The sequence below is a fragment of the Homo sapiens genome, chromosome 14 (assembly GCF_000001405.40).
Source record: "Homo sapiens chromosome 14, GRCh38.p14 Primary Assembly".
Lineage (NCBI taxonomy): Eukaryota > Metazoa > Chordata > Mammalia > Primates > Hominidae > Homo > Homo sapiens.
Genome location: NC_000014.9, coordinates 52728659 through 52754464, shown reverse-complemented (window position 1 = coordinate 52754464; position 25806 = coordinate 52728659). Strand labels below are relative to the sequence as shown.

General features: G+C 40.0%; 1 protein-coding gene across 5 annotated transcripts in view, besides 4 other annotated features; it reads right to left on the bottom strand.

Annotated features, from left to right (window-relative positions):
* The window catches only part of STYX (serine/threonine/tyrosine interacting protein), a 44824-nt gene extending 20525 nt beyond the window's left edge, over positions 1–24299 (bottom strand). For 2 of the 5 annotated variants that reach the window (XM_047431731.1, XM_011537109.3), the window contains exons 1-3: positions 9581–9619; positions 7931–8039; positions 3685–3782 (exon numbers count right to left, since the gene is read on the bottom strand). Coding sequence is in view for 3 of the 5 variants with exons in the window: in NM_001130701.2 (NP_001124173.1) it covers positions 3685–3782; positions 7986–8039; positions 9581–9613; positions 23934–23990 (242 nt within the window). In the remaining 2 variants the exon portion in view is untranslated. Of the gene's footprint in view, positions 1–3684; positions 3783–7930; positions 8040–9580; positions 9620–19586; positions 19621–23933 lie in introns of those variants that run through there. The other 3 variants (NM_001130701.2, NM_145251.4, XM_011537108.2) reach the window with 3 other exon arrangements.
* Positions 2386–2537: a silencer, noted in NCBI's record as "fragment chr14:53218646-53218797 (GRCh37/hg19 assembly coordinates)". NCBI's record gives its function as "represses an EF-1alpha promoter that drives an FKBP-Casp9 reporter gene in an ReSE screen in phorbol 12-myristate 13-acetate-treated (for megakaryocytic differentiation) K562 erythroleukemia cells {active_cell/tissue: K562(+PMA)}" and the evidence as "EXISTENCE:reporter gene assay evidence [ECO:0000049][PMID:32094911]".
* Positions 20260–20554: an enhancer, noted in NCBI's record as "tiled region #400; K562 Activating non-DNase unmatched - State 17:Gen3'". NCBI's record gives its function as "activates a minimal TATA promoter and a strong SV40 promoter by Sharpr-MPRA in K562 cells {active_cell/tissue: K562}" and the evidence as "EXISTENCE:reporter gene assay evidence [ECO:0000049][PMID:27701403]".
* Positions 24005–24084: a silencer, noted in NCBI's record as "silent region_5748". NCBI's record gives its function as "represses an Ori minimal core promoter by ATAC-STARR-seq in GM12878 lymphoblastoid cells {active_cell/tissue: GM12878}" and the evidence as "EXISTENCE:reporter gene assay evidence [ECO:0000049][PMID:35858748]".
* Positions 24155–24614: a silencer, noted in NCBI's record as "silent region_5747". NCBI's record gives its function as "represses an Ori minimal core promoter by ATAC-STARR-seq in GM12878 lymphoblastoid cells {active_cell/tissue: GM12878}" and the evidence as "EXISTENCE:reporter gene assay evidence [ECO:0000049][PMID:35858748]".

Below are 25806 nucleotides of genomic sequence, written 5' to 3'. Positions count from 1 at the left end.
GAGGTGGGTAGATCGCTTAAGCTCAGGAGTTCAAGAACAGCCTGGGCAACACAGCAAAACCCCATCTCTAGAAAAAAAAAAAAAAAATTAGCCCGATCCGGTGGTGCACCTGTAGTCCCAGCTACTTGGAAGGCTGAGGCAGGAAGATTGCTTGAGCCTGGGAGGTCAAGGCTACAATGAACAGAAATCATGCCAATGCAATCCAGGCTGGGCAGCAGAGAAAGATCCTATCTTTGAAAAAAAAAAAAGTATTTCTTTCATAATTATAAAAAATTCAGGCCGGGCGCAGTGGCTCACGCCTGTAATCCCAGCACTGTGGGAGGCCAAGGCAGGCGGATCACGAGGTCAGGAGTTTGAGACCAGCCTGACCAACATGGTGAAACCCCGTCTCTACTAAAAATACAAAAATTAGCCAGGCGTGGTGGCACATGCCTGTAATCTCTGCTACTCAGGAGGCTGAGGCAGAAGAATTGCCTGAACTTGGGAGGCAGAGGTTGCAGTGAGCCCTGCATTCTAGCCTGGATGACAGAGCGAGACTCTGTCTCAAAAAAAAAAAAAAAAAAAAAAAAAAATCAGTGTTTTGGGATATTCCTTTTTAATAACTAGTTTTAATAAACTAAATATGGTGTAAAAAAAAAACACTACAAAAGTAAAGAGTCAGCCCTCCATATCCAAGAATTTCATACCTGTGGATTCAACCGACAACAATAAAAAACATTAACAAAAAATAAGGTAAAATACAACACTAAAAATAATAAAAATAAAATCCAATACTATTCACACAGCACTTACACTGTACTAAGTATTAGAAGTAATCTAGAGATGATTTAATGTATATGAGAGAATGTGCACAGGTTATATGCAAATATTACACCAGTTTATATAAGGGACTTGAGCATCTGAGGATTTTGTTATTCATGGGGGTTCCTGGAGGCAATCCCCCATGGATATCAAGGGTACCATGAAAAATATGTCCCTCGGCTGAGCGTAGTGGCTTACGCCTGTAAATCCCAGTGCTTTGGGAGGCCGAGGTGGGCAGATCACGAGGTCAGGAGTTCGAGACCAGCCTGGCCAACATGGTGAAACCCCGTCTGTACTAAAAATACAAAAATTAGGCCAGGTGCGGTGGCTCACACCTGTAATCCCAGTGCTTTGGGAGGCTGAGGCAGGTGGATCAAGAGGTCAGGAGTTCAAGATCAGCCTGGCCAAGATGCTGAAACCCCGTCTCTACTAAAAATACAAAAAAAATTATCTGGGAGTGGTGGTGGGCACCTGTAATCTCAGCTACTTAGAAGGCTGACGCAGAGAATTGCTTAAACCTGGGAGGCGGAGGATGCAGTGAGCCGAGATCATGCCACTGCACTCCAGCCTGGGCAACAGAGCGAAACTCTGTCCAAAAAAAAAAAAAAAAAAAAAATTAGCTGGGTGTGGTGGCACATGCCTGTAATCCCAGCTACTCAGGAGGCTGAGGCAGGAGAATCGCTTGAACCCAGGAGGCAGAGGTTGCAGTGAGCCAAGATCACACCACTGCACTCCAGCCTGGGTGACAGAGTGAGACTCCATCTCAAAAAAAAAAAAAAAACAACAACAACAAAAAAAAACAAAATTAAAAACGAAAGAAAAATACGTCCCTCTACCATCACAGGCCCTGAATTTTCCTTCTTAGAAGCAATCACTATGAAGTTTCTAGCCTCTTGGTCCAGAAATTTTCTATGCATATATTAAGAATAAATATATGGAATGTAGTATATATATATTTACTCAACACATTGCAAATATATACATTGTTCCACACCCTGCTTTATTCATGTAATGCATTATCTTGGAGATCATCCCAAATCCAAACACATACATATATTTCATTCTTTTTCATGGTTACATAGTATTCTATTATATGTTCACACAATGTATTTTAGAGTATGTATCTTGTATTTACAGATATTTATAGATTGGTTTCATTGTAAAAATAAAGCAGAGCATTAAATTTTTTTTTTTATTTTTGAGACAGAGTCTTGCTCTGTCGCCAGGCTGGAGTGCAGTGGGGCAATCTTGGCTCACTGAAACCTCTGCCTCCCAGGTTCAAGTGATTCTCCTGCCTCAGCCTCCTGAGTAGCTGGGACTACAGGCATGTGCCACCACGCCCAGATAATTTTTGTATTTTTAGTAGAGACGGGGTCTCACTGTGTTGGCCAGGACAGTCTCAATCTCGACCTCGTGATCCACCCTCCTCAGCCTCCCAAAGTACTGGGATTATAGGTGTAAGCCACAGCGCTGTTTTTTTTTTGTTTTGTTTTGTTTTGTTTTTGAGACGGTGTCTTGCTCTGTTGCCCAGGCTGGAGTGCAGTGGTGTGATCTCGGCTCACTGTAACCTCTGCCTTCTGGGTTCAAGCAATTCTCCTGCCTCAGTCTCCTGAGCTGCTGGGATTACAGGCATGTGCCACCACGCTCAGGTAATTTTTGTTTTAGTAGAGATGGGGTTTTGCCATGTTGGCCAGGCTGGTCTCGAACTCCTGACCTCAGGTGATCTGCCCACCTCGGCCTCCCAAAATGCTGGGATTACAGGCGTGAGCCACCGTGCTGGCCTAAAATATTTTTAACATATATACTTTTACATAGATATTGAAGGAAGAAGCTGCCTCCCAGGATAGGAGCAAGGTGGCTTGGGTTAAGAGAAAAAGTAGAGTTACTTTCATTATATATGTTTACATATCCTTTCACTTTTGTACCATGCGTAATATACTCTATTTTAAAAATGAAGTTAAAATAAAGAACATTAAAAACCATTACATGCTCAACTGAACTTACAAGATAAATAAGAACATCAAATGAGATACCATTTTTACTCCATTAGACTTTGAGAAATTAAAAATGTTTCACAATTCCGTCTTGGAGAGATACTAAGGGAAGAGTCACTCTCACATACTTGATAATGGGAATGTACACTGATACAACGCACTGGAAAACAATCTGCAACATCTATCAAAATTTAAAATGTTCATACTCTTATATCCAGCAATTCTGCAAATAAGCCCTATCAATATGCTCACATATAAATTGAGTAATATGTACAATGATAGTCACTATATGCTATACATATTAGTACAAGGCCAGAAACAATCTAAATATCTAACAGACTAATTGAATAAATTTTAGTATAGCCATACAATGGATTACAATGCAACTTAAAAAGAATAAGCAGTTTGATATACATACCGATATAAACCAATCTCCAAAAAATATAAAGTAAAAAAGAAAGCCAATGTAAAAAAAAATTTATCTATAAGACTATGCTCATAAATTTAACCTAACACTCAAAAACTACCCAATAAAGAGGTAACAGTAGATGCTGTTTCCCTAAACCTATCCCCTAGATACTCAATTCCTTTATCCCTCAAGAGATAAAATAATGTACACTAAAACCTATTTTTCAGTATACATTATTTTTAAATTCTTTTTTATTTTTACTTTCCCAGAAACTTCTTGACAATATACACTCTTTTGAACCTTTAGAATTCTGCATTATGGGCATAATTTATTTAAGTATTTTAAGTAAAATTTATTTTAAAAAACTATGTACTATATGACCCATTTTTACAAACTAGATATGTACAGAAACAACTGATGGTACAAAACCTGAAATGAAACTTCATTAAGTGTTTTACAAATCATAGCAATAATTCTTACCTAAATAACTGCTGAAAGTTTGGTTTAATAAAGTTTGCTTCAATATTTTGTCGTATGCATATTATATGGGTTATTCCATGTTTCTGTAGTACAGGTAGCTGTATAAAAAAAAAAGCAGGGGGAGGACAGGGAAGATAAATATTTTAAAATATCAAACATCATCTTACTATATAACACAGATGTTTGAAAATACACAGAACCCACATCTCTGCTTAAGTCCAGGGAATTAAAGCTAATTTTATAATATACCTGAAGTGGGCAGCAAGATATTTCAATGATTCAAGATTAATACATTAATGTCCTCAAAAGGTTAACAGGGATATTTCATACCTACAATTTTAGAGCTTGATGGAACCTTTATGTAAGATGTTTGGCATAGCACCTGGGACACACAGCAAGTGTTTAATAAATGGTAGTTAATATATATTGACTGCAATCTTTATTGTTTAGAGAGAACCACTAAGACATAAAACAGTTACATTACCAAATACTTGGACATCACCGACCTAGTTAACAGCAGTACTGGAACCCAAATCTCTAGACAACTCCTTGCCTCTCCCAGTATACTTTAAGAGTCAGAATTAATTTACATACTTCACAGAATCTAATTAACCTTTTACCATTTAAAAATTTTCCTGAAGTTAAAAATGGCAACTTCAATGACATCTTATTATATTCAATACAGGTTGAGTATCCCTTATCTAAAATGCTGGTCCCAAGGTAGGACCAGAAGTGTTTCAGATTTCAGATTTTGAAATATTTGCATATACATACTCAGATGTCTTGGGGATGGTATCCAAGTTTAAACACAAAATTCATTTATGTTTCACACACACCATATATACTCTGAACGTAATTTCATACAGTCATTTGGTGCATGAAACAAAATTTTGACAGTGACCCATTACATGGGGTCAGGTGTGGAATTCACTTGTGCTGTCATGCTGACACTCAAAAAGTTTCACTTTGGAGCATTTCAGATTTTTCAGATTAGGGATACTCAACCTGTAGTGCTTTTGGCTCCATACTTAAAGCAATTTAACATGACAATTCTAGAAATTACCAGATAATAAGTTTTCATTTGCTAGTGATAAGTTTAAGTGAGTTTATAGATGTTATTTTATTACCTAGAGCATTAAGTTCCATGACAGAAAAGATTTTTATTTGTTCACTGATACATAGTATGTGTAAAATGTATAATACAATTCACTTAAGTATCAAGTATGTATAACTAGTTAAGTTGTTCAATAATTACCTGTTCAATAAATGAACTAACAAGTCACGATGGCATGAGAATCAGATAACCTTGAATTTCTTGACACATTGTTTTAAATCCTATATATTTAATTCCCATTTTCTGCATTTTAAATAGTACAAAACAGTAGCACTAATAATTCATGAGCAAAGTAAAAAAAAATAATTTATATGTGTTATGAACTAAATGTTTGCATCACCTCAAATTCTTATGTTGAAATCCTTACCCCCAAGATGTGATGGTGGAGTCTCTGGAAGATAATCAGTTTTAGATTGAGGTCATGAGGGTAGAAACCTCCATGACAGGATTGTACCCTTGTAAGAAGAGGCAAGAACTCGTTCTCTTGGCCGTGTGAGGATACAGCAAGAAGGGAGGGATCTGCGAGCCAGCAAGAGGGTCCTCACCAGAGCCGGACCATGACTGTGGACTTGCCAGCCTCCAGAACTCAAATAATCGTCTGTTGTTTAAGCCACCCTGTCTATGGTATTTTGTTTGAGCAGCCTGGGCTAAGACAATATAATTTGCAAGTTTTAAGTGTTAATTTCTGCAGCAAGTTTTATGTCAGCATAGATTAGAATTCAATTATCTTTGTATTTCTTGAGTATAACTTGAGTTAGGGAAAGTGAGATAAGCATTTGGTAAGATTAATAATTAACCAATGTTCTATATTGAGATTTGTGCCAATTTCCACAACAAATTCAACATTAAGTCCTTCGTTTACACTTGATGCCTATGGAGTTTTCCTATCTACTTTATGAATGTGAGAAAGCACAAGACGATGCACATAATTATGTATAAATATGCTTAAACAAGTTTTGAAGGCCCAATAGACTACTACTAAATAAAAATAAACTATCAAAATAGAGCCCTAACGTAACAGCGAATAGATTTTGTACTTTTCAGAGGCAGATCTGCAATTACTTTTGCACCAACCTAATATGAAGCAAATTATGACCTTACCTCACATTTAAAAACAGTAGAAAAACTTTACAAAAACAAACCGTTTACTAATTACAAAGGCCCTAAATTTGTCCCTTTTATTTAAACTGTATTTGAATTTAATAAAAAGATATACTTAAGTAAATGTGGCCAGCATAGCCAGACTCCATCTCTACAAAAACTTTGAGAATTAAGCCAGGCATGGTGGTGTGTGCCCGTAGTCCTGGCTACTTGGGAGACTAAGGTGGGAAGACAGCTTGAGCCCAGGAGTTTGAGGTTACAGTGAGCTATGAGAGCGCGCCACTGTACTCCAGCCTGGGTAACAGAGCAAGACCCCACTCCTCTCCCACAAAATAATAACAGTAAATGAGTGTTTAAAAAGGAGTTTATCCATTTAGGTTTATCTCCATTATTATTTTTTGTTGTTGTTTTTAGATAATGGTATGAAAAGAAATATGGGCTATATTATGGTTACCTAGGGTGGGAAATAAACTGCCACAGAGGCTTTTCCTGTCTAATAAGACCATGGTGACATTTCAAGAAAAGAAGTTTTGAAGAACTAGACCTTTTTTTGTGCGTGTTTTTGTTTCATTTTGAGACAAAGTCTCACTCCGTCAACCAGGCTGGAGTACAGTGGTGCCATGTTGGCTCACTGCAACTTCTACCTCCCAGATTCAAGCAATTCTCGCGCCTCAGCCTCGCGAGTAGCTGGGATTACAGGTGTGTACCACCATAACCAGCTAATTTTTGTATTTTTAGTAGAGACGGGGTTTTGCCATGTTGGCCAGGCTGGTCTCGAACTCCTGGCCTCATGTAATCCGCCTGCCTCAGCCTCCCATTGAGGAGATAGACCTTTAAACAAATACTTTAATTTAATGTGATAAATACTGTATGTATATTTATAAAGTACAGTGGGAATTTCAAAAATGTAAATTATCTAAAACCATCTGGAAGACTAGTACTTGGTGAATAGCAAATTATATGGACAATAACCTTGTTTACATCTGTCTTTTACAAAATAAATTACGGCTATGTCTATAGTTACCTGCCCTATCCTTTCCCTAGTACTTATTTTTACTAACTCCCTATCTTTCCAACTAAGCAAAAATCATCAAGATGACCAGGTTTACTCTTAGCCATGTCTCAACTGTCAAAAAAATCTTCCAGTTTCAAAATCAATGACCTTTTAAAACCGGTTAAATTCCTAAGAACATCAAATTAAATTATGGATATATCAAACACAATTTAAGTATACTGACTTCTGAATAGGCAAAGTATTGGGGAAAGACATCTATGATATGTTCCACGTTGTAACTCAAAGAGAATTAGTAGCATTGAATCTTTTAGAAGTGGCAAGAACATTGCTATATTTATTAAAATGAGATCTACCTATTTTAACTGCAACTGAGTAAGTCCATTAAAGTTTGACTATGTAGAATATCTATACGGATTGAATATCCCTTATTTAAAATGCCAGGGACCAGAAATATTTCAGAGTTTGGATTTGTTTGTTTTGCCTATTTGCATTATACTTATAATTGAGCATCCCTAATCCAAAAATCCGAAATCCGAAATACTCCAGTGAGGATTTCCTTCGAGTGACATACTGGTGCTCAAAAAGTTTCAAATTTCAGAGCGGGGATACCAACTAGCTCTCTAAAGTCTGGCTGGCAAAACAGAACTAAGGTGAATGACTTTCAATTAACACACACAGTCTTACCCTTGATAAGGAAGGTTTAACTAAACATTGAAATTCCTTATTTTGGGCTTTAACTACATCTCATATTGTTCTGAAGCTATGATTAGCAATTACAGATGTCTAGTGTTTTAGAGAGTAAATAAGTTATTAAAGGTCAGTTATTTGGTAAATCTTTCAAACATACAAATTTCATGAGGAAAAAACAAAAACTCTGATTTGTGGTGAAACACTTGAGAACTACTGGTCTAGTAAAATAGGGAAAGAGGAAGGTACTCCAGAGTGACAATTACTGTTAACAGACAGTATTTGTGGATGCTCCCTAAAATAAAACTCTTTATTACTAAAAAACTTACCCAAGAAAAGTTGGTTAATAAAAGTCTCTCTTGATGAATCTAACAAAGTTCATACCTTGCTTTTCATAGCAGATGAATATGGGCCTAAGAACAATCCAGGTAAAATTTCCTAGAAAAAAAAAAATTTGAGGTATTTACCATCAGCAATTTAAATCTATAAGGCTATATAAATAAGACAAACCTTATTTGGCCAAATCAAAAGCAGCACAAGATACAACAAGATTGGAACTATTATCTATTTTTTTAATCTTTTTTTTTTTCTTTAAAAAATAGAGACGAAGTCTCACTATGTTGCCCAGGCTGATAAGGAACTCCTGGGCTCTAGTGATCCTTCTGCCTCAGCCTCCCAAACGGCTGGAATTACAGACATGAACTCCTGTGCCTGACCTAAAACTATTATCTATAGTTAATAGAAGCAAATTATTACTGTAACATAAAAATTCCAAATTCAAATATTTGCCAGTTGACAAAATTTCAACAAGTATGTACCTTCCAGATGTTGAATTCAAATTTATTTTATGTAAATTCAATACAGAAAGCTTTCAGTCTGGATATATCATACCCTAGATACTAACAGTAACTTTATAGTTCAGTTCTATAAGTCATAATTATTTGTATATAAAACTGATTTCTTCCACCAGGCTTTTGTGGGCAGAAATTACATTTAGTCATCTTTGCATTCCTCCTAACACCAAGTAAAATGCCTCATAGGTACTCACCTATTTTTTCAAAGTGAACTTTCATTAAGAGAGAAAAGTAACAGATTTTTAGAAGTCATGGGATTCCCAGGAACAAGATACTGCTTAATCCTGGGGCAAACAGACTTGACGGTAAATGGTATGAAATGCAAAAGAAAATGAACTGCTATGAGGGTTAGCTATCGTTTAATTCATTCCAAACTGAAAGTATTCAATTTGATCTTCTAGAAGACTTAATTGTGGAAGTTGATTAAAAATCGGACACAAAATGAACAATGCTTATTTGCTGTACAGACAACTCTCCCTAACTTATCTAGACAAACAGAGAAAGCAAACTGCTTTCAAAAGGAATACAAAGAAAGTATCCAATTTTTCACGTGAGGAAAAAGAAAGTGACTCATTGGCCAGGCACGGTGGCTCATGCCTGTAATCCCAGCACTTTGGGAGGCCAAGGTGGGTGGATCACCTGAGGTCACTGGATCACCTGAGGTCAGGAGTGTGAGACCAGCCTGAACAAGGAGAAACCCTGTCTCTACTAAAAATACAAAATTAGCTGGGTGTGGTGGCGCATGCCTGTAATCCCAGCTACTCGGGAGGCTGAGGCAGGAGAATCACTTGAACCCGGGAGGTGGACGTTGCGGTGAGCCGAGATCGTGCCATTGCACTCTAGCCTGGGCAACAAGAGCGAAACTCTGTTTCAAAAAAAAAAAAAACAAAAAAAAAACCAAGAGAAAGTGACTCATTAAGCACATACACCTATTACTACGTTCCTCTTTCTAATTTCCCATCGTTTTAAGATCCAAGATTAACCTTAAATATTTAAAATAATTATTTAAAATACATAATGATGAACCTACAGATCATGAAATCAGCAGGTCTCAAATCCTATAAACTAAGGTTCTTATTATGATAATAACATGGGTTGGTTTGAACAAAGAAAAGGTTGCCATACCTGCATCTCTCGTCTCATAGGGTAGGTCCACTCCTGGGAAGGAAAACATAAGAATAAAAGTAGATAACATTTAAAAAGTCACCCAATTAAAGGCTAAAGATGTGACACACAAGTATGTAGATTTTTTAAAGTTACATTATACTTTAAGAACATTTTATTAAAATAGCAGACTTGGTTTCACAAACATCTGAAAATTGAAGTGACAAGAAACAAAGCTTAAAGCATTCTTTAAATAACTAGGCTTCCAGAATTGTTATGTTACTTCATAAAATGGATGAAATTACTCATTAAACTTAAGAATAGAATAGATATTCCAGAAGATTCTCCCAAAACTGATCTTCTAAGTCAGAGATGCCAATAGATTTTTTTTGTTTCTCATGCCAACTCTAATCAACTGACAGCAGATACCTAAAACACTGTGTGGTCCAAGACAGGAAGAAGAGTGTCTGATCAACAAATAATATCTGAAATGGATAAAAGAAGAATGCTATGTCATACGTACTTGCCATCTCTGATCTAAAATGCCAAATGCTTATCAAAGAGCCTTTCCTTCATCTCACTTGGGCCTAACATTCTTGTCTAGTTCAATTATTTTAACACATATCACAAAACATAAGAGACTTCATTTTGTCTTTGGAATGCAGACCAATATAAAGAAGCTGTAAAACAACACAAAATGTCAATGGTAAAAGATAAAAAATATTTTAAAACTTAGAAAAAAAGTATAGTGAATTGAAATGAAGAATCGAAATAGACTAAAAGGCCAGGCTCTGTGGCTCATGTCTGTAATCCCAGCACTTTGGGATGCCGAGGCAGGCAGATTGCTTGAGCTCAGGAGTTTGAGACCAGCCTGGGAAACAGGGTGAAACCCCTTCTCTACTAAAAATACAAAAAAATTCGTTGGGCATGGTGGAGCCTGCCTGTAATCCCATCTACACAGGAGGCTGAGGTGGGAAGATCGCTTGAGCCTGGGAGGCAGAGGTTGCAATGAGCTGAGATCACCCCACCACTCCAGCTAGGGTGACAGACTGAGACCCCGTCTAAAAAAATACTATAGTACAGATAGTCCTCATTTGTCAGTGGGTTGACTGCATTCCAAAAGTTTCTAAGTTGGTTGCTTAAAACTCAGAATTATTATTAGTAATTAGGTTTCTGAAGTAGTCTGGAAAATATTTTTTTAACCTTTTATTTTGAAACAATTTTAGGATTATAGAAAAGTTGCAAAAATAGTACAAGGAATTCCATTTACCCTTCACCCAGATTCTCTAAGTCAGAAAAGTATTTTTTTTATTTTTTTATTTTTTGAGACCGAGTCTTACACTGTCATCCAGGTTGGAGTGCAGTGGCGCGATCTCGGCTCAATGCAAGCTCCGTCTCCCGGGTTCACACCATTCTCCTGCCTCAGCCTCCCGAGTAGCTGGGACTACAGGCACCCACCACCACGCCATAATTTTTTTGTGTGCTTTTAGTAGAGACGGGGTTTCACCGTGTTAGCCAAGATGGTCTTGATCTCCTGACCTCGTGATCTGCCCGCCTCGGCCTCCCAAAGTGCTGGGATTTCGGGAGTGAGCTACTGCCCCCGGCCCAGAAAAGTATTTTTAACACAGAAGGTAGAAATAGTATACATCTATAATGAAAAGAGAGAATAATAATCCTACAATGAGAGACAGGTTTTTTTTTTTAACTAAGAGAAACAGAAAACATTTTTATTTTTAATCTTGAAAACTGTTCTCAGCAATATAGTAGTAGACTATAAACCCCGAGTAATGACAGTTTAAAAAAATCAAAAAGCCGGGCGCGGTGGCTCACACCTGTAATCCCAGCACTTTGGGAGGCTGAGGCGGGTGGATCACCTGAGGTTAGGAATTTGAGACCAGCCTGGCCAACATGGTGAAACTCCATCTCTACTAAAAATACAAAAATTAGCCAGGCATGGTGGCGGGAGCCTGTAATCCCAGCTACTTGGGAGGCTGAGGCAGGAGAATCGCTTGAACCTGGAAGCGGAGGTTGCAGTGAGCTGAGATCGTGGCATTGCACTCCAGCCTAGGCAACATCAGTGAAACTCCATCTCAAAAAAAAAAAAAAAATCAAAAGATTCATAGCAATCAATCAGAAGGAGGCCAGTTATCCTGAGCCAGCATAAGGAAGTCCCCTGTGTTTTAATACTATAAAGAAACTAACTTTGAAATGACCAATCCACTTTTTGTTTCATTTCTGCTTTATTTAGCTAGATTTTGCCTATAAATTCAACTTCCTCTGCTCAGCACACTGAAATGCCTTTTCTAAATCTTTTGATGACACACTGCCTGATTCATGAACCACTAATAAAAGTGAGTTAGATTTTTAAGCTAAATTTGTTGTAATTTTGTCTTTTGACACAGGGTAGGCCTATGTTTGGCTTTACTAGATACTGCCAAAAGTTTTGTAAAACCACTGTACACTCCCACCAGCAATGTATGGGACTTCTAGTTGTTCTACATCTTCACTACGGCCTTATTTTAAGTGGAAACGTACTTGTAAACATAAGACAAAGTCTATGATCTGCTCAAAGTCGAACTCAGATCAAGACCAAAAAGCTAGAACTCCCAAAGGCAACATCCTCAGTGAAAGATAAACTAGGGAAAGAAAGAAAAACAAAAACTCAACTCATCCCACAGAAGTGAGTACTCTTGTCCTTCCTAGCTTTGGCTCTGGGTAGGTATTGGTAGTGGTGGAGTGGGGTCTTCCTAACCACAATCTGGCATCCACTCAAGTTTGGGGTTAGAATTCAGTTACTTTTGTGAGGCCAAGTGAGAATTTAATGTAAGTGGTCCTGGGTAGATTGCATCCCTGGATTCCTGGAAGAAGCAAATGCATATTCTCTAGAAAAACACACCTTAAACCTAGATCAGAAATAATTCACACAGATAAAGTCCCAACAAGCTCACAATCAAAAACTAATTTAAAAACAGGAAATGAGCCACCACAGGAAGCAGAAACAACTGAGTTACACTTACAAAACTGCAGATATTATAAGCAATAACGAAAAATATAAAAAATTTAAAGAAATTAGAGTATCAAAATATGACCAGACTAAGAAATTGATTTTTAAAAACACAGAATATGTAGAAATAAGAAGTATAATTGAAATTAAAAATCAGTGAATAGGCCAGGTGCGGTGGCTTACACCTGTAAATTACCAAGTACTTTGGGAGACTGAGGTAGGCGGATCACTTGAGCTCAGAAGTTTACCAGCTTGGGCAACATGGTGAAACCCTGTCTCTACTAAAAATATAAAAATTAGCCAGGCATGGAGGTGGCACGCCTGTAGTCCCAGCTACCCGGGAGGCTGAGGCAGGAGAGTTGCTTGAATCTGGGAGGTGGAAGCTGCAGTGAGCCGAGATTGCACCACTGCACTCCAGCCTGGGTGACAGAGTGAGACTCCATCTCTCATACACACACACACGAAACTCAAAAGTAAAATCAAAAGATATCATTACCTACCATTAGAATGGTTAAAGTTAAAAAAATTGACAACACCAAATGCTGGTGATGATGTGGAGCAACTGGGACTCTCACACATTGCTGGTGGGAATGTAAAATGAAATGGTAAACATACACCTACCCTATTATAATATCTAGCCATTCCACTCCTAGGCTTTACCAAAAAAAAAATATATATATATATATATATAAAAACATATATCCACACAAAGACTTATACATGAATATTTATAGCAGCTTTATTTATTGTAGTCTCAAAGAACTCAAATGTCTATGGTCTCTTCATACAAAGGAATAGTAGTACTCAGGGATAAAAGTCTACGAAGTACTCATAAACACAACAACATGGATGAATTTCATTGACATTATGCTCAGTGAAGAAAGCCACACACAAAAGAGTCCATTTGCATGATTCCATTTGTATCAAGTTCAAGAGCAAGGAAAACTAATCTATGTTGATAGAAATCTGGTTTCCTATTGTGGAATGGGAGAGGAAATGCCTGGAAATAGATGTAACCTTCTATGCTAATAGAATGTTCTTGTATCTTGATGGGGTGGATTAGTGTATGTTCATCAAAACTCAATGAACTGCACACTTACTATTTGTACATTACACTATATAAATTTTACCTTTATTAAAAAAGATCAACTAGACAAAAGACAGATTACACACAAAGGAAGGACAATCAGATGGACACTGACTTCTCAATTGCATGAACAGAAGCCAGAGGACACAAATAATTCATTCATAGTGGCAGGACAAAAACAACTGTTAATTAAGAATATATGCTCGGAAAAATATCTTTAAAGAAAAAAAGTTAAAATGTTCTTTGAAGAAGGGATACTATCACTGTCTATTTTAGTCATAGAGAACCTAAGTAACTTGATTTTGGATCCAGAGAGTCTGAACCCAGAGTTCATTCTCTGAATCAATATACTATACAGTCTTTCAATGTAAGAATGAACTTTACGGCAAACATACAGTTACAATTAAACAAATATTGGCTGCATAAAATAATGACTAATTTATGGATATTAACAGAATAGAAATAAAGCATGTAATTTCTAAGCCAGCAATGAGGGAAATGTAATTGTTTACTAGATACTTTTTTTTTCTTTTTGAGACGGAGTCTCGCTCTGTCGCCTAGGCTGGAGTGCAATGCAGTGGCACGATCTCAGCTCACTGCAACCTCCGCTTCCCAGGTTCAAGCAATTATCTGCCTCAGCCTCCTGAGTAGCTGGGATTACAAGCGCCCACCACCAAACCTGGCTAATTTTTGTATTTTTAGTAGAGATGGGGTTTCACCATCTTGGCCAGGTTGGTCTTGAACTCCTGACCTCATGATCCACCTGCCTCGGCCTCTCAAAGTGCTGGGATTACAGGCATGAGCCACCGCGCCCAGCCTAGATTCTTTAACTTACCAATGTGTTATGGTAATCTTTTTATATATGAGTTTTTTAGCCAGGTATGGTAGCTCACACCTGCAATCCCAGCCCTTTGGAAGGCTGGGGCAGGAGGATAGCTTGAGCCCGAGTTCAAGACCAGCCTGGGCAATATAGGGAGACCTCATCTCTACAAAAATTAAAAAATTAGCCAGGTGCGGTGGTGGTGCATGACTGAGGTCCTAGCTACTTGGGAGGCTGAGGCAGGAAGATCACTCGGGCTTGGGAGGTCGAGGCTGCAGTGAGTCATCATGGTGCCATTGCACTCCAGCCTGGGCAACAGAGACAGACCCTATCTCAACGAAAAAAAAAAAAAAAAAAAAAAAGAAAGAAAGGAAAAAGAAAACAGTTTTTAAAGACTTTAGGCCAAATACTCTTTTTAGTCATGGTACCCCTAATGATAAGCACAGTGCCTGACACAGAATAAGCACAAAATAGATGCATTTCAGAGATCTACTGCACTAAATGTTATTGACTTTTTTCTTTTTAAAAGATTCTCAAGTAGTCTAACAGCCAGCCTTATCTTCCTGAAGCAACTTGTCAGAGCTGTGATAAAGAAGAAAATCAATTAAAGAAATGAGTACTTTTGAATTTATCTAAAGTGAAATCACTAAATTTTGTGTAATTAAAGAAAAAAAAACAGGGCAACACATATCAAGGAATGGTGTAAATATATTCTGGGAAATACTTGTGTAAGGCAAGGAAGACTTTCCCTCTACCATCAGGATTCGATAACAGTCTATGAAATAAACTAAATGGAGAAAATGTATACAAATTTATTATGTGTATGGGAGTATCACAGGAAAGAAAAGTGTATACCAAAAAAAAAAAAGTGGTATTTTTAAAAAGTGTATACCAAAAACAAACAAAATCCGTGATATTTCAAACCAGTCTATGAAATAAACTAAACGGAGAAAAGGTATACAGATTCATTATGTGCATGGGGGTATCACAGGAAAGAAACGTGTATACAAAAAAAAAAAAAGTGATATTTAGGAGTTTATATACCCTTTATATAGCATGGGGGTAGAGGTATACAGGCAATTTAGAAGAACAATTCTGGAGAAAGATAAATGGGCCCTTAGAATAATAATAGATGATACTTTGTGTCAGTTTGTCTGGGTGTGGTGCTGACTTTTACTCTCCTCTCCAGTGATAAGAGACAATCTTCCCTGGTTGATCAAACTCCCTAGGAGCAAACTGAGCTTCTTTTGGAGGATCTGTCCTTAGGTAGGTAACAGGAGTTCAGAGAAAGTGTTTCTTTGCATTTGCTACTTTGCAAGTGTTTCCAACTTAAAGTAATCAATATATCAAGGTGTCATATTTTGGAGTGGCATTTCCTCAACACCTTCATTTGGCAATATGCCAAAAGACACTCAAAGCCACTGAAGTATCAATTTTATCAAAAAAATTCTTTAGGGAGAAACAGTATTTTCACTGGTTACTAATTTAAACAATTTTTATATTAAAACAAACAGGCACATATGGGATAGAATGCAAAATTTACCTGAACCTTTTAGCAAAACAAGAGGCTTCAAAGAACTTTTGAGCTTTCCATAAGGTTATATGTAATACAACATGAAAGACTCTCTTGAGATATATATATATATGGAAGATATTATAAGAGGGAAAAGCAAGTTGTATAGTAGGAGGGAATGAAAAATTATTCCTAGTCACAGGACAGATAAGAAGCCTTCTTCAGAGAACATTAGTAATTACTGCAATAGGTATGGATCCTTTGAAACCTAGAAAGCTTTCTCTCACAGAAAAGTTCATTTGGAACTATTCCTGGTGTTATCATCAGATGCTGATCTCAGAATCCACCTTCTTTGCTGCCCTAACCCAGATTACCACCTACAGAACAAACCTTAAACCTGCCTGTTGGCCGGGCACAGTGGCTCACGCCTGTAATCCCAGCACTTTGGGAGGCCAAGGAGGGTGGATCACAGGGTCAGGAGATCGAGACCATCCTGGCTAACATGGTTGACACCCCGTCTCTACCAAAAATACAAAAAATTAGCCGGGCATGGTGGCGGGCGCCTGTAGTCCCAGCTACTCGGGAGGCTGAGGCAGGAGAATGGCGTGAACCCGGGAGGCGGAGCTTGCAGTGAGTTGAGATCCTGCCACTGCACTCCAACCTGTTAAAACAAACAAACAAACAAAAAAACCCTGCCTGTCTATGGATCTTACTAACCAAGATTTTAAGTCTGAATGCTCATAGTCTTCTTCTACCACACATCCGTCTGAACACACGTCTAATAACCAAGTCTTGCCACTATCACACTTAATTCTTAATCTCAGCCTGCTCACACTACTCCTGAAATCTATCATTTTAGAAACCGTGGTATTAATGGAGGCATCTCCATATCACCAGCAATGATCTATTTTAAGTTACTATTGTAATTAATTAGTAGAAATCAATTTCCCAAACTTTATGAGTAGCCAAGCAGTTCAACCACATTAACCAAACCAAGGCAAGCCAGATAAACCAAAATAACCCTCTATTGTGAAACACCATGATTCTGAGACAAATTAATTCACAAGTGAAAATCTTTCGATCAACATGAGGTAGAAAGTACCACATGTTAAAACATCCTTCCGAATTATCTCCTTCCTTTCCATAAAAATGATCTATAAAACTGCATTTGGATAGAGAAAAGTTACAAAAATGTTCAAAGACCCTCAAATAAACACATCAATGAAGGATATAGACTGTAACCATTAGATAAAATAATTCTTATATGCATTGAAATATGAAATATGAACTTTTACAAATACAGTAGTCCCCCCTTATCCACAGGGGATATGTTCATACATTTGAGGATAGTGCTGAATCCTATATACACAATACTAAAATAAAACACAAATTGTACATAGGCTGGAGGTGGGGGGCAACAGTTTGGGGAAGAAAAAAAACATCAGAATACTAGACTTGCACTGGGACATTCCACAAAACAGAAAAGTTAGTATTGCACTTTCTCTCCTAGAAAAAATAGGTAAATCCCTCCAAAGTCCTTTTCCTTTCATTCCCACACCAAGCTTGAGCTTTGCTTAAATCAAAGGAGAAAAGAAAATGTTTCACTCAAATAAAAAGAGAAGGTGGGCAGGGACTGGAGGGGCAGAAGAGTACTCAAGTAAGATATTTTCTAAACCAGCAATTTTTAAACCTGACTGAACATTAGAATCATCTAGCTTCATTCAGATAAATTAAACTACAATAGGTGCTGGTAGGGTCCACGCATCAGTATTTTTAAAAAATTCCTTACTCTAGAGTAAGGGTTAAAAAGCACCATTCTAAATAAAGGAGCTAGAAAAGGAATCCTCAGCCATGTATGTTAAATAATTCCTATCTTTGATCCTGTACTACGGGATTCACAAGAAAAATGGAAAGGGAAACATGGAAAGTTGCTAAACTGCAATGGAAATAAATATTTCACTTTCTGTCAGAAGAGAAGATAAAACATTAACTTTTAAATTATAAAACCAATAGCCCCAGCTACAACCAATTTGCTTAAAAATTGGTACTATCAGCTACTCCTTCTTCCTAATATCTAAGCTCTCTTATGAAAGGTTCAGTCTAAATGGAAAATAGACAATGACCAAAAATTGTTAAATGTTACAAAGGTAAGTATTAAAGTACCAAGTGCCATAGTAGCTGGGGAATTGAACCAGTCTAGAGGATGAGGAAAGGAGTTAGAGAAACTGGCAAACAGGAAAAGCTTCTCTGAAGAAATGTTGCCTAAAGTGGGATCTAACCCAAGGGTAAGCAGTTAATTAGGTGAGGGTAAGGAAGGTGCTGGCAGCCAAGGCAGGGGAAAATAGCAAACATAAAGGCTCTGAAGGCGGGGGGTGGAAATTAAAGCATTCCAGGAACTGAGAGAAGATAAATATGGCTAGGGCTTACAGAGAAAGGAGCAAGAAGAGTAGCTCATAATGAGGTTAGAGAGGTATGCAGATGTCAGACCATACAGGACCCTGGAAATAATGTCAAGGGTTTAAATTTCATCTTCAAAACAATGGAAATTCATGAAAAAGTTTTAAACAAAAAAAGTAACAATCTTTTCACAAACTGACTGATCTAAATTTTTGTTAGCACTGTCCTATACAAAGAATACCAATATTTCAAGAAACGTGAAAGTAATATTCTTGTAGAGGTGACAGAATCATCAACCTATCATAGCTTGATCACATTAACATTAAAAGCATTCCCTGAACTCTCTGCTTGAATTCAGTTTTTATTAAATTTGGTCTGTAATTTGGATTTCCAGGTAGTGCTCCCTGTGTCAAAGAAACAATGCTGGCTGATCACTCTAACTACTTAAGACCATTTGACACTTTACATTATCTCACTGGAGATTAGAAAATTAACAGTGCTTATTAGTCAGTTTATTATGAATAACTATATGCTCCTATTTAATAGTTTATTTATGTGGCCCCTATGTATAGTTTTATCAGCCCAGAAAGTACCCTCTACCTGTGGAAATGTTCCTATGGTTTTGGTGGGAGGGCTACCAACAATAAACTTCACTCCTCTAGCCAAGGAATTAGGGATATGACCTAGATGGGGCCCCTCATTGTATCTGCCCTTTCCTGGCTACAGTGACTGATCCAAAGTGTGGGAACATGAATTAAATTGGGCAATTCCTCTAGATTTCAAACACAGAAGCTGGAAGTGTTCAGTTTTATTCCTCAATAACCAAGCTCATAAAGGTGTGACCCCAGATGGCCAAGCTTCACATCTTGGAGAAGCCAGAGAGAAAGCAGAGACTCCGAGAGAAAGTAGAGATAAGAACTCATGAGAGACAAAGGCAGTTCTGATGCTTTATAATACCTGGGTTTGGTCAAATCCTTGAAACTAGCTGCACCACTACCCTTCTGGATTTAATTACTTTTTTTTTTTTTGAGATGGAGTCTCGCTCTGTCTCCCAGGCTGGAGTGCAGTGGCTAGATCTCGGCTCACTGCAAGCTCCGCCTCCCGGGTTCATGCCATTCTCCTGCCTCAGCCTCCCAAGTAGCTGGGACTACAGGCGCCCGCCACCATACCTGGCTAATTTTTTTTTAAGTAGAGACGGGGTTTTACCGTGTTAGCCAGGATGGTCTTGATCTCCTGACCTCGTGATCCGTCCGCCTCGGCCTCCCAAAGTGCTGGGATTACAGGCGTGAGCCACCACGCCCGGCCGGATTTAATTACTTCTTCTTTTTCTTAAATTCGTTTTTGTTGCTTGCAACCAAAAGATACCAAACATGCAATATTAAGAAATACGGAACGAATTGGCTTTCAGCAGACAATACTTGCATCATTATCCACTAGCTTTAACCATTACCTCTGTCCCTGTGATATAATATGAAATACATGGTCTTTCTCTCCAGTTCCTGTCACAGTCCTCCTAAAACTCTTGGAATTTTCTAATAGGAGTGTCTTTGGTTATTTATGAGCCACTATTTTTGATCAAACCTGATTATGCTAATGAAGTGATTTAGGGTGGGGCCAGTCACCAGAAAGACCATGTGACAAGAGGGTTGAACTCTCAGCCTCACACACACACACACCTCTATGGGAGGGGATGGAGATGAAGTTCTATAAAAACCGTTGAATAAGATTTGTTGAGCTTCTGGATGAAAACACTGGAGGTGCTAGTGAGGCAGGTGAATAGGGTCTGGAGGCAGGGAATCTAAGGCTGTTTCACCCCGACTTCCCAGAACTAACTTGAAGGGAAAACCCTAACTTTCCACGCCTAAGTAACAAAAGGACCAGAGGCTACTCCCGTTGCAAACCACCTACCTTTTCTGCACAGTAGACGGGAAATTGGCTGTCCTCAACAAATCAGACTGACTGCGGGTGGAATCTTCGTTTGCAACTTTGTAACTTCACTCTAGCCACTGAATGGTCGCTGTCCACAACCAAGCGGACTGATGTGGGGGTGGGTCTGGCAACCAATCAGACCAATTGCAAGCCACCTCTTCATTTACATGAGGTGAGCATGGAATGGCCAATGGGAAAGTTCTAGGGGGTATTTGGACCCAAGAAGATTCGGTAAAGCAGCGGGGGTCGGGGGGGAGTGCTGCTAGGGCAGCTCCCACACTGTGGAGTGTACTTTTGTTTTCAATAAATCCCTGCTTTTGTTCTTTTGTTGCTTCATTCTTTCTTTGCTTGGAGTTTTGTCCAATTCTTTGTTCAAAACGCCAAGAACCTGGACAGCTTGCAATCATGACTCTACTGGTGACACTGGGATGGTGGTGTGCCCCTTCCCCCATACCTTGCCCTATTCATCTCTTCCTACTGGCTGTTCACTGATCTTTTGTAGTATCCTTTATAATAAACCCGTAAATGTACTTCCCTGAGTCCTGTAAGTCACTCTAGCAAGTTAACTGAACCAAGGAGGGAGTAACGGGAACCCTGATTTACAGTCAGTCAGGAGTGTATAGGTGACAACCTACTACTTGTGATTACCATCTGAGGTTGGGGGCAGCCTTGCGGGACTGAGCCATTAACCTGTGGGATCTGACTAACTTCAGGTACATATGTGTCAGAATTGAATTATGGGACATTCAGTTCATGCCTGCTGGAAAACTGCTTGGTATGGAAAAACCCCCACACATCTGGTAGCATAAAAAAAAGAGTGTGTTTTCAAGTCCCACACAGAAAAGACAGGTATATATTCCCAGCAAGAATTTATCAGTTTTGCAGGAATAAGGCATACATAATGATATACACAGTAACAGATTAAATGCAAAGTCCGGGAAAATTTTAAACTAGAATTTTTAAGATTAGGGCAGGGAAGAATTGAAGTGTATTAAAAAGAACAATGAATTAGGAGGCCGAGGTCCTTCTGTGTCTTGTGCTACTGTGTTGTTAATTTGGCACATCACTTATTTTCAGTAAGGTACAATTTCTTCACCTGGAATGTGGGACTCCTCTACATTATTTGTAAGGTTGCTTGCAGTTAAGTGCTGAAATTACTGAATCATTTTGAGGATATGAAAGCATACTCCTTCGCGGTGGCTCAAGCCTGTAATCCCAGCACTTTGGGAGGCCGAGGCAGGCGGATCACTTGAGGTCTGGCGTTCCAGACCAGCAGGGCCAACATGGTGAAACCCCGTCTCTACTAAAAGTACAAAAATTAGACGGGAGTGGTGGCGGGCGCCTGTAATCCCAGCTACTCAGGCGGCTGAGGCAGGAGAATCTTTTGAACGTGGGAGGCGGAGGTTGCAGTGAGCGGAGATCACGCCACTGCATTCCAGCCTGGGCAACAAGAGTGAAACTCCGTCTCAAAAAAATAAATAAATAAATAAAAGCATACTCTTCATTCACATTATTGTATGTTAAGTATAAATTCATTTTTATAACTAGCCTAAATATGACCTCCTGTTTTCTAAGAGTATATTGGCCGGGCGCGGTAGCTCACGCCTGTAATCCCTGCACTTTGGGAGGCCAAGCCAGGCGGATCACAAGGTCAGGAGTTTGAGACCATCCTGGCCAACATGGTGAAACCCCGTCTCTACTAAAAATACAAAAAAATTAGCCCGGTGTGGTAGCGGGTGCCTGCAGTCCCAGCTACTCGGGAGGCTGAGGCGGGAGAATGGCGTGAACACGGGAGGCAGAGCTTGCAGTGAGCCCAGATCGCACCACTGCAAGATCATTCCAGCCTGGGCGACAGAGTGAGACTCTGTCTCAAAAAAAAAAAAAAAAAAGCTGGGCCTGGCGGTGCGCGCCTGTAATCCCCAGCTACTCAGGAGGCTTAGGCAGGAGAACTGTTTGAACCGGGACCCGAGGCAGAGGCTGCGGTGGGCTGAGACAGCGCCACTGCACTCCAGCCTGGGGCAACAAGAGTGAAACTCTGTGTCAAAAAAAAAAAAAAAAAAAAAACCATGAGTATATTCTTGGGCCAGGTGCAGTGGCTCACACCTGTAATCCCAACACTTTCGGAGGACAAGGCGGGAGGATCTTGAGGCCAAGAGTTCGAGACCAGCCTGGAGAAAAAACCCATCGCTACAAAAAAAAAAAAAAAGAAAAATTAGCCCGGCATGGTCCCAGCTACTCCAGAGGCTGAGGTGAAAGGATGGCTTGAGCATGGGAGTTCGAGACTGCAGTGAACCGAGATCACACCACTGCACTACATTTTGCAACAGTGATAGTCACAAACAAAGTCTCTACTCTTAAAACAAATGTAATTGTCAAGCATCAATACCACAAGAGAGCCCTCCAAACAAAAATGTGAACCTAGGCCGGGCGCGGTGGCTCATACCTGCAATTTCAGCACTTTGGGAGGCCGAGTCGGGCGGATCACAAGGTCAGGAGATCGAGACCACCCTGGCCAAAATGGTGAAACCCGTCTCCCCTAAAAACACAAAAATTAGCTGGGCGTGGTGGTGCGCGCCTGTAGTTCCAGCTACTCAGGAGGCTGAGGCAGGAGAATCGCTTGAACCCGGAAGGCGGAGGTTGCAGTGAGCCGAGATCGCGCCACATTGCACTCCAGCCTGGCGACAGAGCAAGACTCCGTCTCAAAAAAAAAAAAAAAAAAAAAGTGAACCTCCAATGAAGATATTCAATAGAATAAATATTCGGAATAAATTGAATGGTCTCCTAAAAATAGGGCTTTATTTTTCCCAACTACTTTAAAGGTATTTTTAACTAGCGATGTTAGATTTTCTTTCTTAATCCTACTAAAGTATAGCTGAGTATCTTCGTCTTGTTAATTTAGCCTCCAGAAAATTCTAATTTAGTAGTCTGCAATGCCGTAAAATGTTAAACTAGCAACAGATGAAAAAAAATCCGAGTAGAAACAGCAGGCAGGGATCTAAGGTGGAGTAAAAATAGCCACAAATTAGAAACCAGGAGAAAAGGTATATAGTATTTTACTTTCAATATTAATTTTCCTCCAAAGGTCAAGATTTCTGATTAAGAGTTCTCAGATTAAGATGAGCTAGCTTTGAGACACTTTGTTGTGCGGGTCATAGCTTTGTCTAAAAACAAACAAAAAACTTTGGGAAACTTTTCGAAGGCGCGCTTCCAAACTTCAGGCGCCGAGTCTATTTCACATGTGGGGCCATGTGTCCCACAAGTGAATCGTTTACACCACAGATATTCCTCAAAAGGAGACTAAACCAACTTCGCTCTCTTGTTACTTTGACAATAAAAGAGGAACCTTACTCCAGGTCAGTCCTGGATGCCAAGCCTAGGGACTAAGGGATTGCTTTTCCTCTTCTCAAATGTAAGTACACCAGACGCTGCCCCTCCGCGGGGTCTGGAGAGGACGAGCAACTCAGTGGGGATTGGAGCCGACCGCTCGGCTTCAGAGGTCCCGGGACGCCCTTAGGAGGCAGGGCGCCCGTACAGGTGGCGGCTAAGACGGTTGGGGACTGGGGTCGCCCCTCGGCCGGAGCCACAGGGAGAGGCCTGTGCGTGGCAGCCACGGGAGCGACTCACCTCGGCGTCTTCCTTGCACTGTGGAAGGGAAGGGAACTCCAGCTTCACGTCCTCCATGGTGCTGGCCCGCGGGCTGGTGGGTGGGGTGGGAGAGTGTTACACAGCCGGCCGACCCTCGGGCTGGCTGCGGCGGCGGAAGGAAGGAGGGCCGGCGGAGCGGAGGGCTGACAGGAGGGCGGCGGGATTACAACTAACACACGCAGACTACAGGGTCCCAGTGACTCCAGCAGCGGCGGCGGCGAAGACAGGGAAGAGGAGGGTCGGGCGTCTTACACCCGGCCGCCATGCCGCTGCCGTCTCCCTCCCCCAGAGTCTCCGTACCCCTCAGGCCGCCCAGGATCCAGCACAGGAACCAGCCCGACAACCGTCTCCCCGCCTCCTTCCCGCCCCCTCCACCCGCGTCGCCTCAGCCAATCCCAGCCCACGCTCGCCTTCTGCCCGCCCTCCGCCGCCGCCAGGTGTCAGCGCGCCACCGCCCTGCTCCGCCCCTTCGCTAGAGCGCAGACGCTTGGGGGTGGGGGGGGCGGAGCCTCGGATGCTGCTAGGCCACAGCTCACCCGGCGTGGAGGAGGCGGGGCTGCGGTGGGACAGGACGAGTGAAGGTCCTGGGAAAGGCAGTGGGGCGGTCCGAGCCAGCTCCGCCCTTTCCAGACAGGACGTAGAGCCCTTCTTTAACATAAGAACAAACAGGCAAAACAGGCTACCCACCAGTGGCATCCGAAAGGAAAGCTATAGTTTCTCCCCTCTCAAAATTCTGCGCAATCTATGCTGAGTTTATAACCAAATGACTAATAAATGAAGAGTTCAATTTAAAATCACGTGGTGCCATACAGAAAATAAAATACCCATCACCTTTAAGCAAAGAATTAAACGGCTCAATTTAAAATTTTTTAAAGTATTTTAAGAGTACTTGAAAATACAACTCAGTTTAGATTACCTAGAAAATATCAAGAATGGCAACTAGAAAAAAATCAGAAAAAGGAACTGATAGCTGACTCAGTAAATTGTATATAATACTGTAAAATTTCTTCCATTATTATATTTTGAAATAAAAATAATAAACCAGATGGCTTTCAATATCTTTTAAAAGGAGTTTGCCAGCCTGAGCAAAATAGTAAGACCCCCCTCTCTAAAAAACAATTTTAAAATTCCCTGGGTGTGGTGGCGTTATGCCTGTAAACCCATGGTGAAAAGATTTGGGCCGGGCGCGGAGGCTCACGCCTGTAATCCCAGCACTTTGGGCGGCTGAGGCGTGTGGATCACCTGAGGTCGGGAGTTTGAGACCAGCCTGACCAACATGGAGAAACCCCGTCTCTACTAAAAATACAAAAATTAGCTGGGTGTGGTGGCGCATGCCAGTAATCGCAGCTACTTAGAAGGCTGAGGCAGGAGAACCGCTTAAATCCGGGAGGCGGAGGTTGCAATGAGCTGAGATAGTGCAATGGCACTACAGCCTGGGCAACAAGAGCGAAACTCCATCTCAAAAAAAATCAAAAATAAAAAAAGAAAGAAAGGATTTGTACACCAAATTGATTCTTTAAAAAACCACCGCCAGCACAAAGGTAAAAGGCAAGATAGTCACTCCTTAACTAAATGCAAATTATAAGTGAAAAGATCACATAGATATTTGACTTAAACCTCCCCCTACATTCTACTTTTTGTCACATAAAATGCACTGCCAACACATAGAAATAGAACTGTACAATAATTTGAGTATGAGATGGCTAACTTGACCACTCCATTTTCTATTTTAACTGTTCATCTTCTAAAATTATAAAAAGGCACATAATATCCTGCTAGGAAGTTTTTAATTTGAAGAATTATTGTATAATTAGCTAGGTCATGTATTTTTGGTTCTTTAGTGTTTATGAAA